We start from the raw sequence: 18,516 nt of genomic DNA, 5'->3' as shown, positions 1-18,516 counted from the left end.
ATCTCAGGGCTGCCCACACCCAGGGCAAGAGGCCTGGTGTGTTTATACCCCTGTATATGCAGACACCGTCTGGCATTGGGTAAGTGTTGGCTGGGGTGGGGTTGAGGGGGTGCACATGTCCAGGTATTTCTGGCTCTTCCTTAAAGGCACACAAAGTAGATTCCGGAAGTTTAAGGTCAACCTTCCAACTAAGACACACCCCTTCTGGCTCGGGGTGAGTGCGAGGACAGGGGTCTGGTAAAGAGACCCAAGGAACTATGGGCAGAGTCTGACAGCATCCGCTACAGTAAGTTATGTAACCCTGAGAAAGTTCAACCCAACCCAACCTAAGACACTCACATCTAATGTTCATTATTCTCACTGAGTAGATGAGGAAATCGAGGCTTGAAAAGTTGAAGAAATCGATTGCACATCTCTGTACAGAAGCCAGAATTCAAACCCAGCCCCTCCCTGCCAGGACTGTTTCCATGCACGGGGCTACGCGGCCCTGGGAGAGCCCCTGGGCTGGCTTCATGAAGTGGAGGGTGAAATGATGAATGAGAGTCGTGCTCCCACAAAAAGCACAAGGGTGACTCCAGCAGACAGAGGACTGCCAAGGAGTGGCCCCAGCTCTTGGATCTGTTCATCTAGGCTGGGCCCCAAATCTCTCCCAAGACAGGTCCCTGGAGGTGGGGCCAGAAGTATGGGGAGGATTTTGCCCTTGTGAAGAAAGCTCAGCCTCAGAGCTCACAGTGTTGGGGGCCTGGAGGGTTGGACGGGAGAGCCCAGCACCTGGCGTGTGCTCATAAAGGATAGAGTCCTGGACTGAGGACTTGACTCCTAGGATATACACAGTCCAAACACTCCCGTAATATGACAGGAGAACTGAGGCCAAGAAAAAAAGACCTTGATCCAGGTCATGTGAGTTGCCAGGACTCCAGAAGTATGCTAGCACATACTTCTAATGCTACAGCACACATCTCAGGAACAGACAATTTCCTAAGAGCGGGTTTTCACCAGATCCTTCTCAGGGATCTTAGTCAGGGGAGGGCCACCTGGTTGCGAGTGACTGAAACTCATCTCCAGGTGGCCTGAGCAGCTCCCACAGCTGAAGGGACTGAATTGGCTCCCACAACTCAGAGGGCTAGAGACTGCTCCAGGCTCCCATGAGGCTGCCATGCACCTTCACACTCTGCTACTCGGCTTTGCTTTCTTCTGTGATTGCCTCAACCTTGGGCAGAGTCTACCTGTTTGTGGCCAGGTGGCGCTCGGCTGCCTCTTGAGATGTGCGAGCACCACCTCCTCAAGGATTCCAGCAGCATTCCCAGGGCAGAGGCTCAGCTTGGATCACACGCCTATCCCAGAGCCAACCCCTCACTTCTTATTGGCCAGGCCTAGGCCAAATGCCCTTCTGAAGAGTGTGTGTGTGTGTGTGTGTGTGTGTGTGTGTGTGTGTGTGTGTGTGTGTGTCTGTATGCTCACAAACTTTTTAGATTGACAGAAGTCTGGTTCCACAGAGAAAAATCAGGTCACTGTTACTAGAAGAATGGAACCTGGATATTAGGCTGGAAGGAGCTGCAGGAGCCCCGTCCTACAAATGCTGTTCCCTCACATGGACTCAGAAAGCTGGGAGGCCAGGGCAGGAGAATCACTAGAGGCCAGGAGTTCAAGACCAGCCTGGGCAACATAGTGAGACCCCATCTCTACAGATATAAATATTAGTTGGGTGTGGGGGTGCACCTGTGGTCCCAGCTTCTCAAGAAGCTGAGATGGGAGGATACTTTGAGCCCAGGAGGTTGAGACTGCAGTGAGCTGTGACTGCCCCACTGTACTCCAGCGTGGGCTGAGGCCCTGACTCAAAAAAGGAAAAAAAATAACAGCAGCTTTCAGGTTAAGGAAAGCTGTGGCATCAAACGCAGTGCAGTTCTTGATCCTTAGAGCAGGAGGGTGTCCTAGGTTGGGTTTTTCTGAAGCTGTGCCTGGGATTCAGGTACAAGTGAGTTTTCAAGGAGAGAGGAAAGAGAAAGGGCAGGCTAGAGAGGAGCAGGATCGGGAATGGGGAACACTGAGCAGAGGCCGTGAGCGCCCAGCTTGTCTTCACTGAGCTGGGAGCAGATCCCTCGGTTGCTGAGTCTGGGCTGCTGGTGACTCACCATTCTCTAGAGAATCACCTTGGGTTAACAAAGTTTATATTTCCCAGGATTGGCCCATAGCCAAGGGCTAACTGATATGGGAATATGAAAGAGCACCCCGTACCCTCAAGTGGGACAACTGGACGGTACTGTCTCCCCTCCCTTCCCAGAGCACCCTCTGTGATCAGGCTGAGGCCAGACTTCAGAGGAAACTACATCTTTGCCTGCCTCTTCACTGCTCCTCCTTGCTTTCCCCACTTCTGCACACATTTCATCAGAAAGTGTTCTCTGTAAAAGAGTTTCATAAAAATCCTCCTCTCAGGGTCTACTTCGAGGGACCCTAACACAGGTCCAGCTGCAGTGTTGCAATTTCAGGGCAAGGTCCTACACATAGCCTGATCCTGTGCTCTGGAGTCTAAATATACCCGAGTTTCTGCCACCTCAAGGCAAGGAAGGTGGGCTTTGCAAGCTCATACCAGTGATTAACCAGGATGAGGAGTGGAGGTGGGGAGCATAGCTTCCAGGCGTTCCTGGCTGTCTGCTTGGAGGAGGTGGCTCTGGTAGCCCAAGAGAAAGCGCCTGAAGACCCTTGCAGGTGGGGGCCTTTTGTAACCAAGCCCACGAAATAGAAGATGGGCTACTACAAAAGGATTCAAAGGATTGAGTGGGTCACCAGCACTGCCTACATCATAAGGAAAGAAACCAGGCTGCATAGAACTTTGAAAATCAAGATTTCTAATTTCGTACCAGCTTAACTATTGGCAGCCACAAGGGTGCTGTAATTAGCTGACAACAGGTTGCTGTTTATCAATTTGTTGCTACTCATGTAACAAGAAGTAGAGAATACAGTACTTATAAACCCTTGTAATGAAATATTTTTCCTTTATTGAGGCTGTGTTTATATAGATGCACATTAGTTTAAACTTCTTGACCTCATTTGCATTCTAAAATCATAGCCTCATAATTTCCTTTTCCCAAATGCATTCACTCTTAATTAATCTTAACCACTCTCGAGCTTTTCTGATTTCTATTATCACTATTTAAAGTTGAGAAGACTTTTAATGGATCTAAATCACATATTCAAATTAGTTTCTTTTTCTAAAGTTATAATGACTTGAAATTTTATTTCATTTGGGCCCAAAGTATTACCTGAAAAGTAATTTGATTGTTTTATAGTTTAAATCATCTGTGTGGAATAAAATTCATTAACCTTATTTACATGTGTGTAAAAATTATGATACTCTAACCAATTAACATTTATAAAAAGCGTGCAGTATTTTACAGCATGGAGTTTTGACTTGTACTCTGTCATCCACATCTCTGAGCCCATTTAGCTCCAGAAACCTAGGGATAGGTGTTGATTTCCAGTTTTGCTTAAAACTAGTAATTTAGTTGTTTCTCTAGACAATGTGGTATGTGGAAGTTGTGTCTTCACCTCGCAGGACTGAAGGAGCAGTGGGCTATTGAGGCTGAACTTCAGCATCATCTTCCCAGGAGAGCAGGGGAGCACCGACGCCCCAGAGGGCCTGTCCTGGAGGCCCTTACTGGGAGCTTGAGGCTATCTGTTGGGAAATGTCAAACCCTGGATATTGGATGCTTTCTTTCAGAGATCTACCCTGGAGATGCACAAACACGTCATTCTTTGGACAGCCCTTCCAGGGCACAGTGCTGGAGATTTGTTTTCCTTTTTTTTCTTTCTTTCTTCTTGTTTTTTTGAAACAGAGTCTCACTCCGTCACCCAGGCTGGAGTGCAGTGGTGCGATCTCAGCTCATTGCAACCTCCACCTCCTGGGTTCAAGTGATTCTCCCGCCTCAGCCTCCCGAGTAGCTGGAATTACAGGCGTGCACCACCACACCTGGCTAATTTTTTTATTTTTAGTAGAGACAGCCTTTCACCATGTTGGCCAGGGTGGTCGCAAACTCCTGACCTCAAATGATCCGCCTGCCTCAGCCTCCTGAAGTGCTGGGATTACAGGCATGAGCTGCCCCACCTGGAGATTCTTTCCAAAGCAAGCCTCAAGGAGTTCCTGATGTGGTTAAGACACTCACCTACGAGGCTGAGTGCAGTGGGTCTAGCTTTGGCTTTGTTTTTAATTTAAATTTTATTTCAACTTTTATTTTAACTTTGGTGGGTACCTGTGTACATTTGTTACATGAGTGTATTGTGTGATGCTGAGGTTTGGGGTACGATTGATCCCATCACCCAGTTAGTGAGCATAGTACCCAATAGGTAGATTTTCCAGCCCCTGCCCTCTCCCTCTCTCTCTCTCTCTCCTCTGGGTGTCCCCAGTGTCTGTTGTTTCCATCTTTGTGTCCATGTGTGTTCAATGTTCAGCTCCCACTTGTCAGTGAGAACATGCAGTGTTTGTTTTTCTATTTCTGTGTTAATCCTCTTAGGATAATGGCCTCCAGCTGCATCCATGTTTCTGCAAAGGACATGATTTTGTTCTTTTTTTATGGCTGCATAGTATTCCGTGATGTGTATGTACCACAATTTCTTTATCCAGCTCACCATTGATAGGCACATGGGTTGATTCCATGCCTTTGCTGTTGTGAATGGTGCTGTGGTAAACACATGAGTGCAGGTGTCTTTTGTGGTAGGATGATTTATATTCCTTCAGGTCTATACCAGTCATGAGATTGCTGGGTCAGATGGTAGTTTGATTTTTAGTTCTTTAAGAAATATGTGAACTGCTGGCTGAGCCGATGTGCGTTCCCATCAGCAGTGGATAAGTGGTCCTAGGCTGTAGCTTGAGTCCAGGCTTTGGCTCCTACTACCTGTGTGATCCTGCATTTCAAGTTCTCTGTCACCTGGACCATCAACAGAGCCTCCTTGCAGGCCCTGTGTGCTGCCCTCACCCCCAACATTTCTTTTGCTTTATTTATTTCGAAGCATGAGCCAATCGGATCAATATCTACTCATGAGGTTTCCATCGCTTTCCATTGCTGCCTGCATGGACAGAGCCGCTCACCTTGGCCATCTCGCCCACCAACCGACCCCTGCCCCCCAGCCCCACTGCCCTGCATCCATCTTTGCACTTACCGCATCCTCCCGAGCCTTGCTGTTCCTTTGCTTGGAGTGTCCTTCCCTTCCTTCCTTGCCAAGTAATCTCTAACTCACCATTCCTGCTTCAACTTGAAGGTCACTTTGACTTCCTTGACTGGGTCACATCACACATGGGCCTCTTGTAGAAGAAGTTGCTAATCTTCCTCTCTGTCATGGCCCTGACCACAGTTGCAATTTCCCATTTGCTATTGTGATTGTATCCTATCTCTCTCTTATGCAAAAGCTCTGTAAACAAAGTAAAAAAATAACAGATGCTGGCGAGGCTATGGAGAAAAGGGAATGCTTATATACTGCTGGTGGGAATGTAAATTAGTTCAGCCATGGTGAAGAGCTGTTTGGAGATTTCTCAAGGAACTTGGCACTGCCATTCTTCCCAGCAATCCTATTACTAGGTATATAATTGAAAAGAAAACAAATCCTTCCACCCTAAAGACACATGCACTAGTTTCTTCATCATAGCACTATTCACAATAGCAAAGACATGGAATCAACCCAGGTGCCAATCAGCAGTGAGCTGGATGAAGAAAATATGGTACATATCACCATGGAATACTACACAACCATATAAAAGCATGAAATCATGTCCTTTCCAGACACATGGATGCAGCTGGAGGTCATTATCCTCAGCAAATTAATACAGAAACAGAAAACCCAAGACCACATGTTTTCTCTTATAAGTGGGAGTTACACAGTGAGCGCATGTGGACACAGAGATGGCAGCATCAGACACCAGGGCCTACTTGAGGGTGTGGAGGGGAGGAGGGTGAGGATTGAAAAACTACCTATTGAGTACTATGCTTAATACCTGGGTGATGGGATCATTTGTACCCCAAACCTCGGTGACACCCAATTTACTCATGTAACAAACCTGCACATATACCCCTTGAATCTAAAATAAAAGTTGAAAAAAAACAAAGCTCTGTAAAGTCAAGGGCCAGTTGGTTTCTCACTTCCCAGTCTCTTCCCACCCTGTAGCTTAGGTCTGGCTTCTTAATTAACAAATGTTGAGTTAATTATGAGCAAGTATGATCTCATTGTTCCCTTACTTTAAAAGAAGGAAACTCAGTCTCACAGTTTCCCTATGAGGTTGATACTCAGTGAGGGTATATGTAAGGAATCTAGCCAGTTGCCCCCAGCTGTACCACCTCTGTCCTGCCCTGGGGATATGTAGGCTTCTGGCTGGGAGCCAGCAGCGGTGGGGCGGGACACAGTTCCATTTAGTGATCTAGGTGCACACACCTGATCACAGGCGAGTAAGAAAACCACAGCACGGCTCTGATTCACACCTCTGTCTTTGATTTTCTATTTCTAACACTCTGGGCAGTGAATCCCATCAAAAATAAATAAGATAATCCCATCAAGAGTCAAGAAGACAATGAAGACAGTGCATTGCTCTTGGAAGCTTTGTCTTGAATTTCAGATTCCTCTTGGGCTCAGAATTACCCACCTGAAATGAGAAAGCTGGATGAGGCGCTCCCACCCAACAGGCACTGCCCCTCAAGACCCAGCCTTTCTCTGGGCTCCGGACAAAATTGAGCCTCAGGCGTCTCTGTGAGCTGGGCTGATGGACGTCATTTGCTCAGGTACGTCCCTGGTGAGAACGTCCTGTCACTATATCCTTGGCTTCTGGCTTTGGCTATGTTTGCATTTTGGCTGTGCAGGCCATGGGAAAGTGACAGTGAACCTCAGAAACGTCCCCAAAATCCCCGGGCCTCAAATGACAAGAGTGACAGTTGGCAGATAGTCAGGAAGCTCCTGGGCATTATTTTGGGGAAAATCTCTACAGGACAGAAAGAGGACTGTGAGGACTGTTACCCAGTCTAGGAATATTACAGGGCTGGATATGTCTCACTTTCCTTCAGAAGGGAAACAGGCTGGGTGCGGTGGCTCATGTCTGTAATCACAGCATTTTGAGAGGCTGAGCCGGGAGGATCATTTGATGCCAGGAGTTCCAGACCAGCTTGGGCAACATAGCAAGACCCCGTCTTTACAGAAAATAAACATATCAGCCGTGTAAGGTGGCATGTGCCTGTACTTCCAGCTCCTTGGGAAGATTGCTTGATCCCAAAAGTCCGAGGCTACGGTGAGCACCACTGCACTTCAGTTTAGAGGACAGAGCAAGACTCTGTCTCAAAAAAAAAAAAAATGCACAAAGGGAAACTTGTGGCCCGAGTGCAGAGACATGGTCCCAGCTCCACTTGGTTCTGCTGTGGGCCGACTCAATGACCGCAGCCTACCGCCTCCTCTCTGCTGGTCTTGGGTCTTCCTTTTGTAAAAAGAGCATGGTCATGATGGGTTGACACCCTCTGAAGCCCTGAGCCAACTCTCATTCTTCAATGTCTTCTGGCCAGGGCCACTTGCATAGTAGTCCAAGGAATTCTAGGCGTTTGGGTCTCCAACCTGCTGCTAAATTGTGTGGGTGCAGACTGGGTGCTTTTATTCACAGCCTAAGGCATGGTGGTTTTCTTTCGGCCAAGATGCAAATTTTCTTCTATTTAATGTCAATGGGCCCCAGGCAGCTCTGTCTCCCTGAAGGCCCCTCTGCTTCTTCACTGCTCGGAAAGAGGAGAGGCAAGCCCATGGCTGTTCTGTGCGGTGCCTGAGACATGTGAATTCCCACCAGCTCGTTGAGAATGATATTCAACAGCGACCCTTGCAGACCTCCTGGTACCATTAACTCTCCCTTAATGCCTCGAGGCCCTGTTCCTTTTGCAGTCTGGTTTTCTTGTGTGACTGAGCAGAAATTATGTCTCCAAGATCTTGGTGGCATTTGCAGGTATTCATTAGTCCTGAAAACACACCTGCGTTGCGCTCAATGCTGCAGGCACCTGCGTTTCTCCAGGACTCAGAGCACTCTGGTCAGAGCAGGTTTTCTGGTTTTCTAAACAACAGTAATTCAGACCTCACTGGCTCCTGGCAGGACCTCGGTTCTCTGAAAACTTTCTTCTCTGAGTGATTTAGAAAATACCAGCAGTGGGCCTCACACTGACCTGGAAATAGTCATCCATGTTTGGAGAGTTGAATAGTATCCCCCAAAATTCATATCCACCACGAACCTCAGAATGTGACTTTACTTAGAAATAGGGTCTGCACGTTAATTAAGATGAGGTCATACTGGATTAGGGTGGGCCCAAAATCCAATGGCTGGTGTCCTTCTAAGAAGAGGACACACACACACACACACACACACACACACAAACACACACACATACACGAGAAGGCCATGTGAAGACAGAGGCCCAGACTCAAGTGATGTTTCCACAGGCCAAGGAATGCCTGGGGCCCCCAGGAGCTGGAAGAGGCCAGGGATTCTCCCCTGGAACCTTCAAAGGGAGCATGGCCCAGCTGACACCTGTGGATTTTGGACTCCTGGTCTCTGGGGCTATAAGAGAATATATTTGTCCAAGTGTCTGGTTTGTGGTATGTATCTGCCGTGGCAGCCTGAGGAAACTGCTGAACATGCTTCTGCACCAGCCCTTCTTTGACATTCTCCCCATGAAACCGACTCGAGGATGGGGCTCCTGAAACTGCGCTTATTGCTGTCCCTGGTAGCCATCCTTGCTCCTGTTCTGCGAGGAAGTATTTGGTTGTAAGTCAAGGCTCCTGGGATGGCAGTGACTTCAGTGACAGGACTGCGCTTTTCTATTAGGGTGGTAAATATAAAAGCAGGATGTTTGTGGGATTTTAGAAGCTCGGAGTCTGCCAAATTCATTCCTTGGGGTTCTCTCCATCTCGCCTCATGGTTGCAGAATGGCTACTGGAGATCTGAATATTCTGTATCTACAAGCAGGAAGGACTAAAGGACACAGCTGTCTTTCTTTTTTAACCAAAGAAGAAATGATTATCTGAAGCCCCTGGCAATTCCTCAAGTCCCGTCAGCCAGAATTCACCCTTTGCCCACCCTGGCCACCTCCCATGAGGGCAAGTTTCTTGGAGAGCTCAGTGCCAGGCACCTGTGTCCAGGAAGCTGGCTGGTCAGCAGCTGCTGCTCCCAGCTTTCCCGCCTTGCCAGCCGGCTGTGAACTTAAGCTTCCTTTTCTCTGCTGGGATGCTCCTCTGCTCACTCGTACCCCAAGCGGTGGCCTGTGCTGGGTCCTTTCTAGGTCATTACTGTTCTGCTGCGGGTCCCACTGCCAAGTGACCCAGTCTTCACCAGCCCCTTGTGGATTGTAGCAGAGGGGATGGACTAACCCAGCTCACATGCCTGTGAGGCCAGCGCTCGCCTCTCATCCAATCACTCATTGCTAGGAGGTCACACAGGCGATCGCATACCCAGTGGGGTCAGTGGGTGGGGCTGATTTTGGAGAATGGGCTATGCTCAGGGTTGAAGCCTTAGCGTATGTCTAATGTGAGGTTTGTCCACCAGAATGTTGCCATGAAAGAAGGTGAAATGTCGAGAGAGTGGGCAAGTCTCACCCAGACTGACCCGTGGACTCAAGACTTTATCTGTTTCACTGTTAGTTAGGTGCATTAAAAATAAAGTAAAATAAGGTTGGGTGCGGTGGCTCGTGCCTGTAATCCTAACATTTTGGGAGGCTGAGGCAGGCAGATCACCTGAGATCAGGAGTTCGAGACCAGCCTGGTCAACATGGCAAAACCCCGTCTCTATGAAAAATACAAAAATTAGCCAGGCGTGGTGGTGCAAGCCTGTAGTCCCAGCTACTCAGGAGGCTGAGGCAGGAGAATCGCTTGAACCCGGGAAGCAGAGGTTGCAGTGAGCTGAGATCGTGCCACTGCACCCCTAGCCTGGGCGACAGCGCAAGACTCCATCCCAAAATAAAATAAAATAAAATAAAAATAAGAGAAAAATAAAGTAAAATAAAAATGAAAAGTAGAAAGGCCCCTGGGCAGGACAATGTTTGCCTTTAGAACATCCAGCTTTCCTTTCACAGCTAGTGTCCTCTTCTCCTTCTTTCATCACAATCCCACCTTTGGTAAAGTATGGTTTATCTTACGTGTTTTAGCTCAAGCTTAGAGTATGGTCATTGTGGCAGAGGACTCCTGGGCCTAGAGCTGGAGCCCAAGAGAGCATTCACAGAATTCCTGGAGCTAGGGCCTAGGGAGGGTGAGGGGACACTGTATATGCAACCCAGACCCCTTTCAACAGCCAAGGATTTATTCCCAAGCTGTTGGAGGACAGCAGAAGATGGCCCTCAGCTGTGCTTTGTATAGTATTTTTGCTGAAGAAAACAGCCTCAGCCAGGTGCAGTGGCTCACACTTGTAATCCTAGGACTTTGGGAGCCTGAGGAAGAAGGATCGCTTGAGCTCAGGAGTTCAAGACCAGCCTAGGCAACATAGCAAGACCCCGTCTCTAAAAAATACATCGATAAATAAATTATCCAGGTGTAGTGATGTGCATCTGTAGTCCCAGCTACTCAGGAAGCTGAGCCAGGAGGATGACTTGAGCTCAGGAGGTAGAGGCTGCAGTGAGCTATGATCGCATCACTGCACTCCAGCCCAGGTGACACAGCGAGACTCTGTCTCTTAAATAAATAAATAAATAAAAATTACAGAAAAAGAAAAAAAAAAGCCACACCCAAGGTGACATAGGCTTCCCAATAACTGGTCAATGAAGGCTATAAAGTTTCAGCCCCTCCCCCATCAGGAGCATCTCTGCAGGGCCACTGAAGCTCCAAAGCTCCCTGCAAGGCGGCTGCAGTCTTTGTTGGTCCCAATCCCAGCCGGATATCTCCCTCTCCCTCTGCCTAATCCTGCTTCTTTCCCCTGCATCCAACAGATATTGATCCCAATAGCATCTTCTAGTAAGCATCGTGACTGCTTCTCTCCATCTCAGAGCCTGTTCCCTGGGAAACCTAGTCCTGCGTGGAGTGCCCTGAGGCTTATAGGCTTTGTGCCATAAGGTTGAACCCATGCCTGGAGCAGTCCCACAATATTACAGACACCTCGGAGCTGAGGGACAAGGCAGGGGCTGCTGGACAATGGGCCTTGCCACCAAGCCTTGCTTCATGTCTGGCTCCTATGTGACCCCTTCTAGAAAGCCCTCAGGAAGACTGATCAGGCAAGGTGCTAGCAGAGGGTGGGCTGCCCAGGTCCACTGGCAGACACCCAGGTGGCATGTGATCTTCTGGAGCAGCACAGGCTCATGCTGTGACATTCAACACCATAGATGTCTAAGGGAAAATGGTGGGGGTGGGGGGCAGTCTGCTTCATGTAGAGCCCTGATGCCTGGGGCTCTGTCCTCGGCCATGGGGTGACCCTGGGCTAAAGTGTTGGCTTTCTGCATGAAGCATTCAGCTCCTAGAGGTGGGCAGGTGGAAAACCCCACACCCCCACACTGAGAGCACTGGGAGGATGACCTCCGAGGGACCCCATGAATGAGGCTTGTTCTGTTGGAAGAATCCCGGCCTCGCCAATCTGTTCATCACAGATAATTAATCTTCTTCCTGCCCATCCACTGTCCCCTCCCCACTACTAAAAACAGATTTTTTAAAAAAGGCCCAGGAAGAATTCTCCATTCATCCTGCATGACTTGCAAAATTTGAGTTAAGGGCCCCCAGGGGTCTTTGTTATTTTTATGTGACACTGATTAACCACTTTGCACTCCCCTGCATCTGAGCTCACAGTCACTGACATTTTTGCACAGAAAAGCAACTTTTCTGAACTTCGTTCCTTCTTGTAAACAGAAGCATTAAAACTGCTCCCAGCTGGGCCTGGTCTTTCAGCGACAATCTTTGGTTCCCTGAATCTTCCTGTAGGATCCTCTCTCTCTACTGCACGTCTTTAGGGCCATCACTGGGGAACAGAGCACTGGAAGCAAATCTTAACAGACTATTATTTTTAAAGGATTTTTGTCTTAATAAACATAAGAAGTCTGAATCCTTGTGAGACTGGAAAGATATGCCCTTGTGTGAATAATTCCGACACCCTCAGCCCTCAGTGAGATTTGAAGATCAGATTCTTTGAAGGCAGGGGTCTTGGTAAAAAGCAGCAGCCTGAGCTCTGCTGGGAGTGCTGCCCCCATTCTCCTTTGATCTGGGCCTTTGTCTTGGGGAGTGTATTAGCCTGGCTTCTCCAGAGTAATGGAACCAGTAGCATAGAAATAAATATAGATATAGGTGTAGACACGTGGATATACAAAGAGATTTACTATAGGGAATCAGCTCCTGTTTACTATTGGCTCAGATTTACTATAAGGAATTGGCTCAGATTATAAAGGCTGAGAAGTCCAAGTCCTACAGCTATCAAGCTGGAGACCCAACAGAGCCAATGGTTTAGCTCTAGTGTGAGTCCAAGGGCCTGAGAACTAGGAGAGCAGATGGTATCAGTTTCAGTCCAAATGCAAGTCCAAGGGCAGGATACAACAGACATCCCAGCTCTAAGACAGTCAGACAGAGAGAAAGAATATTTTCTCACTCAGCCTTTTATTGTATTTAGGCCTTTAACAAATTGCATGAGCCCTGCCCCCACCGCACCCCCCACGTCTGACCACTGCCGCCGCATTGAGTAACTCTGCTTTATCCTGTCTATCCATTTTGATGTGAATCTCATCTAGAAACACCCTCATTGATATGGTTTGGCTGTGTCCCCACCCAAATCTCATCTTGAATTGTAGCTCTCCGAATTCCCACATGTTGTGGGAGGGACCCAGTGGGAGATAATTGAATTTTGGGGCAGTTTACCCCATACTGTTCTCGTGCTAGTGATTAAGTCTCATGAGATCTGACGGTTTGATAAGGGGTTTTCACTTTCGCTTGGCTCTCATTCTTTCTTCTCTGCCACCATGTAAGACATGCCTTTTGCCTTCTGCCATGATTGTGAGGCCTCTCCAGCCACGTGGAACTGTGAGTCCATTAAACCTCTTTTTCTTTAGAAATTACTCAGCGTGGGGTATGTCTTTATCAGTGGTGTGAAAACAGACTAATGCATTCATAGACACACCCAGAATAATGTTTAATAAAACCAAATGTCTTGGCACCCCACAGCAGTCAAGCAGACACATAAAATTAACCAGCGCAGAAAGGAAGGAGCTAATGATACAGTGGATTAGTCAAAGAACCCCCCATAGTCCCTTGGCCAGGTTTGGGATTAGAGAGGCAAGGGAGCTGATTTGGGACTGCAGTGAACATGCAGGAGTGCCTCTGGATGCTTTCTGTCTCTCAGAGCTGGAGGATCCCGTGCACATCACTTCCCCAGCATGAGCCCCTCTGCGGGTCCTGCAGGCCTCCAGGCTTCTCCGGCTGGGTGTCCCTTGCTAGCTCGTGGCCCTGGCCCATGAACCACAGTTCAAGTGGGGTTTTCATCCTCACTGGGCTCACCCTTGGCATAAAGAAGACGTGGCCTTCTCCTAGGAGAAGGATCTCTTATGGAGATCCTGAAAGCAAAGATTTTCATTTGAGAAAAAGGCATCTCACAAAAAGTCACCTGCCATGGTTGGGATGCTTTGTTCCCTCCAAATCTCATGTTGAAATGTGGTCCCCAGTGTGGGAGGTTGGGCCTGGTGGGAGGCGTTGGGTCATGGGGGTGGATCCCTCATGGATGGCTTGGTGCCATCCTCCTGGTGATTAGTTTGTGGGAGAGCTGGTTGTTAGAAAGCCTGACACTCCTCCTCTCTCTCTGCTCCCTCTCACACCATGTGAGGCCTGCTCCCCTCTGCCTTCTGCCATGAGGAGAAGCTTCTTGAGGCCTCACCAGGAGCTGGGCAGAAGCTGGTGCTGTGCTGCTTGTACAGCCCGCGGAATCATGAGCCAATTAAACCTCTTTTCTTTATCAATCACCCAGCCTCAGGCATCCTTCATAGCCACATGAGCGGACTAACACAGCAGGCAGACGTGGGTCCTCTGTCAATTAGGAATTCTATCAGCCCTGAATAGTTAAGACGTGGAAATTAGTGGCTTAAATAAAACAAAATAACAGAAAAACACACAAAAGAATGAAAACATCGTATTTTTTCCTCAGGTAATGAAAGCTGTGAGCAGCCAGAGCTGTATGCAGCTCCACTGGCATGGAGGATCCTGTCTCCCTCCTCCTGGCAGCTCTGCTTGTCTTGGGCAAGGACCCTCAGGTTCCTGATTCTCCGATGAATCTGTGTGATGCAAGGGAGAGAGGGGGGTGAGTCTGGCAGTGATGGGTGTAGAGAAAGGAGCCTGTCCTCTCAATCAACCCCTCTCCTCTTTGACAGAACTTTCCCGAAAGTTCTGTCCCATGACTTCAGCTGACTTCTCATTGGCCGTCCCTGCCTGGAAGGAAGCTGGGATTTGAACCTCTGACACCCTCGAGAAAACTGTGACTCTGCACATTGGTATCCTAGCCACCTGCTCGCTGGTGCCTGTTTGCAATTGGACTGCCTGACCTTCCTTGCCCTCTCAGCCCCGTTTGTTCTTAGTGAAAGTTTTAGTATGATGTCAGGCCCTGTGTTCTTTCTCCCACTTGCTCTGAGTGTTTCTGTGTTGCAGTTATCAGGGACAGAACAATGATATCCTACTTTAAGCCAGAAGAGTGATCTATAGGCTCCAGCAACCACACTGTGAAGGAGCAGGATGGAGCTCTCCTTGGCCCTTCCCAAAGTCAGGGCACAGGAAGCTATCGGGTCTCTAGTCCCCCTCTCTGTCTTTCTCCCGTTCCTTTCACTTTCCTCTGCACATGGACTTTGGCTATGTTCCATCTACTTAAATCACTTTTGCCTCCCATCACAGGTCAAGGATGGGGGTGTACAGACTCCTGTCCTTCCACTCCACAACCAGAGCAGACAGGACTCTTCTCCACCCGCCCCAGTGTGAAAAATCCCAGAGAAGACTCTGATTGGCCCACCCAGGTCATGTGCCCATCTTTTGTCCAATCACAAAGGGCTGGGAATGAGATCATGCAATAGAATCAGTTGTTTTTTTTTTTCCATTTTTTGTAGACAGGGTCTTACTGTCACCCAGGCTGGAGTTCAGTGGTGTAATTATGGCTCACTGCAGCCTCAAACTCCCAGGCTGAGATGATCCTCCCACCTCAGCCCCCAAAGTAGCTGGGACCACAGGCACAAGCCAACATGACCCAGCTAATTTTTGTGTGTGTATAGAGATGGTGTCTCACTATGTTGCCAGGCCAATCTCAAACTTCTAGGCTCAAGCAATTCTCTCACCTCAGCCTCCAAAGTGCTGGGATTATAGGCATGAGCCACCACACCCAGCTGTAATAGGATTTTATTTTTATTTTTATTTTTGAGACGGAGTCTTGCACTCCAGGTTGGAGTGCAGTGGTATGATCGCAGCTCACTGCAACCTCCGCCTCCCAGGTTCAAGCGATTCTCCTGTTACAGCCTCTCAAGTCACTGGGATTACAGGCACGCACCACCATGACCAGCTAATTTTTGTATTTTTAGTAGAGACAAGGTTTCACCATGTTGGCAAGACTGGTCTCCAACTTCTTACCTTAGGTGACCCACCCACCTCGGCCTCCCAAAGTGCCACCGCACCCGGCCCTGTAATAGGATCGTTTATACCTCTTCAGAGCTCATGGCTAGATCAGGGCTGAGGAGCGGAAGCCAGAAGGGAGCAGCCATTCCTAAAAATGGGGAATGGCAGGGGTGCAGCGGCAGAAGGAATTGTGTTTCATTAGGCAGCCACCCCAGGTCCTGGGAGCTGCACTTTCCGTGTCTGTTTTCCCACTGATTCATATGTTGCCCTTCCTTTGCTCTGCTCTGCATAGCAAGGGATCTGACTGCTATGGGCTGCTTTTCCCAGGCTTCCGCCTTTGCCTCCAGTTGGGGACAGCGATGAGATGCACTGGGGAGACTGCAGGATGCGAGAAGCCTGGTGTATCTTCCCCTTCCTCCCTGTCTCGGGCAGCTTCTCTGGCAGCAGCTGGTCTTTTCTGTGGCTCTGGCTCTGGCACGGGATGTCCCTGTGGTCTGAGTTTCAGAGGGCTGACCTCGGTCCCACAAACTCTGCCTCCTCCCTTGATCCCACTGGCCCAGGGAAAGTCGTGTCTTTCTTTTCTTACTAATCTCTGGGTTTACATGATTTCTGTAACCATTTAGCTGCATTAAACTCCTCCTGTTGTAAAAACTTAGTTGTTTTCCTGTTTCGGCCTGATTTGTGCACCTCCTTCCTCCATACGCACTGCTGCTCCTCCTCATTTACAGGAGACACAACCTTTCTCCCTGGACTTTTGCAATGGAAGCCTAAGCTCTAATCTGGGAATAAAAGTCTGTGTCTCCTGTAAACAAATTTCAGACTTCAGTGAGCAGGTGCAGGAAGAATGCTCTGAATAGGGAAGTGGGTTGCGGGAATCCCACCCCTCTAGGCAGTCAGCCATTCAGGTCTTTCAGAGGATGCAACTGGCTTTCAATTAGCTGCCAGTGGGCGTGCCTGGAGAATCCTAACCCAGACCTTCCTTCCCTGCCTGTCTCCACCTGCCCGTCAGGAGTAATGAAGACTTTTAATGTGAGCAGACAAAAAAACGAAAGCAGAAAGTAAACCCGCAGCAAAACAACCAGCGCATGAGGAAATCCCAGCCAAACGGTTCTGGGGCTCCTGTGTGACCTGCATTCTCTGTTATACAATCAATTAAGAGTCGACACAATAATGAATTTTTTACATTTGATTACACACACCCTGGGATGTCAGTCCAGGTAAAGGTCACACTCCTGTTATACTAGCTGGAAAAACAGTGCTAGATGACTTTTTCCAGCGCTCTGATTTGGGGAATGGAAATGGTGTTTATACTGTTTTTTTTTTCCTCTGGACTAATGCTACATGTGAACTCATTTATTTTCTCAACATCAGACCCCTCAGCCTAACTGAAATCATGTTCCTCACCTGCCTCTTCCCTCTTGTTTTAATAAGCAGGGGTTTCTGCAACAGTTAAGAGTAATGCAGTGTCTGCCGTTGTAGCGACATCTAAGATTCACAGAGGCTTACAAAAATAAGACTTATTCTTCACTGTGGGCCAAGTCCATGGAGGGCGGGGCACTGCTCCACGTGTCCTCCCTCTGGGGCCCAAGCCAACGCAGCGGCCGCTCTCTTTAATATTGTTAGTGCCTGGGGCAGAGGGCAGCTTATTCTGACCACAGTTAATGGTCATAGAAAGTCCCATGGTGACACCCAATTTTTTTCTGACCCCTACCATCTTCCCAAAGTTGTATCTCTAGCTCTGACTTTAATTGAATCTCTGCTTTGATGTCTTATCGTAATCTCAAATGTATGGCTGGGCATAGTGGCTCCTGTCTGTAATCCCAGCACTACCAGAGGCTGAAATGGGAGGATCACTTGAAGCCAGGCATTTGAGACCAGCCTGAGCAACCTAGCAAGACCTCATGTCTATAAAAGCGAGAAGTAAAAAATGAGCTGAGTGTGGTGGCACATGCCTGTAGTCCTAGCTACTTGGAAGGCTGAGGTGGGAGGATTGCTTGAGCCCGGGAGGTAGAGACTGCAGTAAGTCATGATCGTACCACTGTACCCCAGCCTGGCCAACAGAGCAAGACCCTGACTAAAAGAAAAAAAAAGTCTCAAATGTAATGTTAACAAAATGGGACTCTTAATTTTCTATACTTCTAATTACCTCTCATCTCAGTAAATGATACCCTTCTCTACCCACTTGCTTACGTGAGAAATCCAGGCATCATTCCCAATTTTCTCTCTTTCTTTCAGTTGCCACATTCAGCCCACCTGCAAATCTTATTCAAAAAATAGTTTTGGAATCTGCCTTTCTCCATATTTATTGCATCCACTTGTCTTAGTTTTGGTTTCCCTTAGAAGTGGATCCTGCTATAAGGATTAAAATGCAAATTATTTATCTGGGTGGTATCTGAAACACTGATAGGGGAGTGGGAAAATGAGACAGGTGAGACAGTGACTGTAAGGTTAAAAGAAAACCTGGCTGGGTGCAGTGGCTCATGCCTGCAATCCCAGCATTTTGGGAGGCCAAGGCAGGTGGATGACCTGAGGTCAGGAGTTCGAGACCAGACTGACCAACACAGTGAAACCCCTCCTCTACTAAAAATACAAAAATTAGCGAGGCGTGGTGGTGTATGCCTGTAATCTCAGCTACTCAGGAGGCTGAGGTAGGAGAACTGCTTGAACCCGGGAGGCGGAGGTTGCAGTGAGCTGAGATCACACCACTGCACTGCAGCCTGGGCGACAGAGAAAGACTCTGTAAAAAAAAAAAAAAAAGAAAAGAAAGAAAGAAACAAAGGAAAGGAAAGGAAAGGAAAGGAAAGGAAAGGAAAGGAAAGGAAAGGAAAGGAAAGGAAAGGAAGGGAAAGGGAAAGAGAAAAGAAAGACCTTAAAACAAAGGAATCCCCTTCTATTTCCATGGTTGTGGCAGGGTCATTACTAAGCCAGATCCAACTGTGGCTAACTAGAGCTGAATCCTGTGGGAACCCCCTAGAA

General features: G+C 48.3%; 1 annotated feature.

Annotated features, from left to right (window-relative positions):
* Positions 9,230-9,731: an enhancer, noted in NCBI's record as "H3K4me1 hESC enhancer chr19:29538773-29539274 (GRCh37/hg19 assembly coordinates)". NCBI's record gives its function as "activates a minimal SCP1, AML or CMV promoter by ChIP-STARR-seq in naive H9 embryonic stem cells {active_cell/tissue: H9 hESC(naive)}" and the evidence as "EXISTENCE:reporter gene assay evidence [ECO:0000049][PMID:30033119]".

Source organism: Homo sapiens, chromosome 19 (genome assembly GCF_000001405.40).
Source record: "Homo sapiens chromosome 19, GRCh38.p14 Primary Assembly".
NCBI lineage: Eukaryota > Metazoa > Chordata > Mammalia > Primates > Hominidae > Homo > Homo sapiens.
This window is presented reverse-complemented; position numbering and strand designations above follow the sequence as displayed.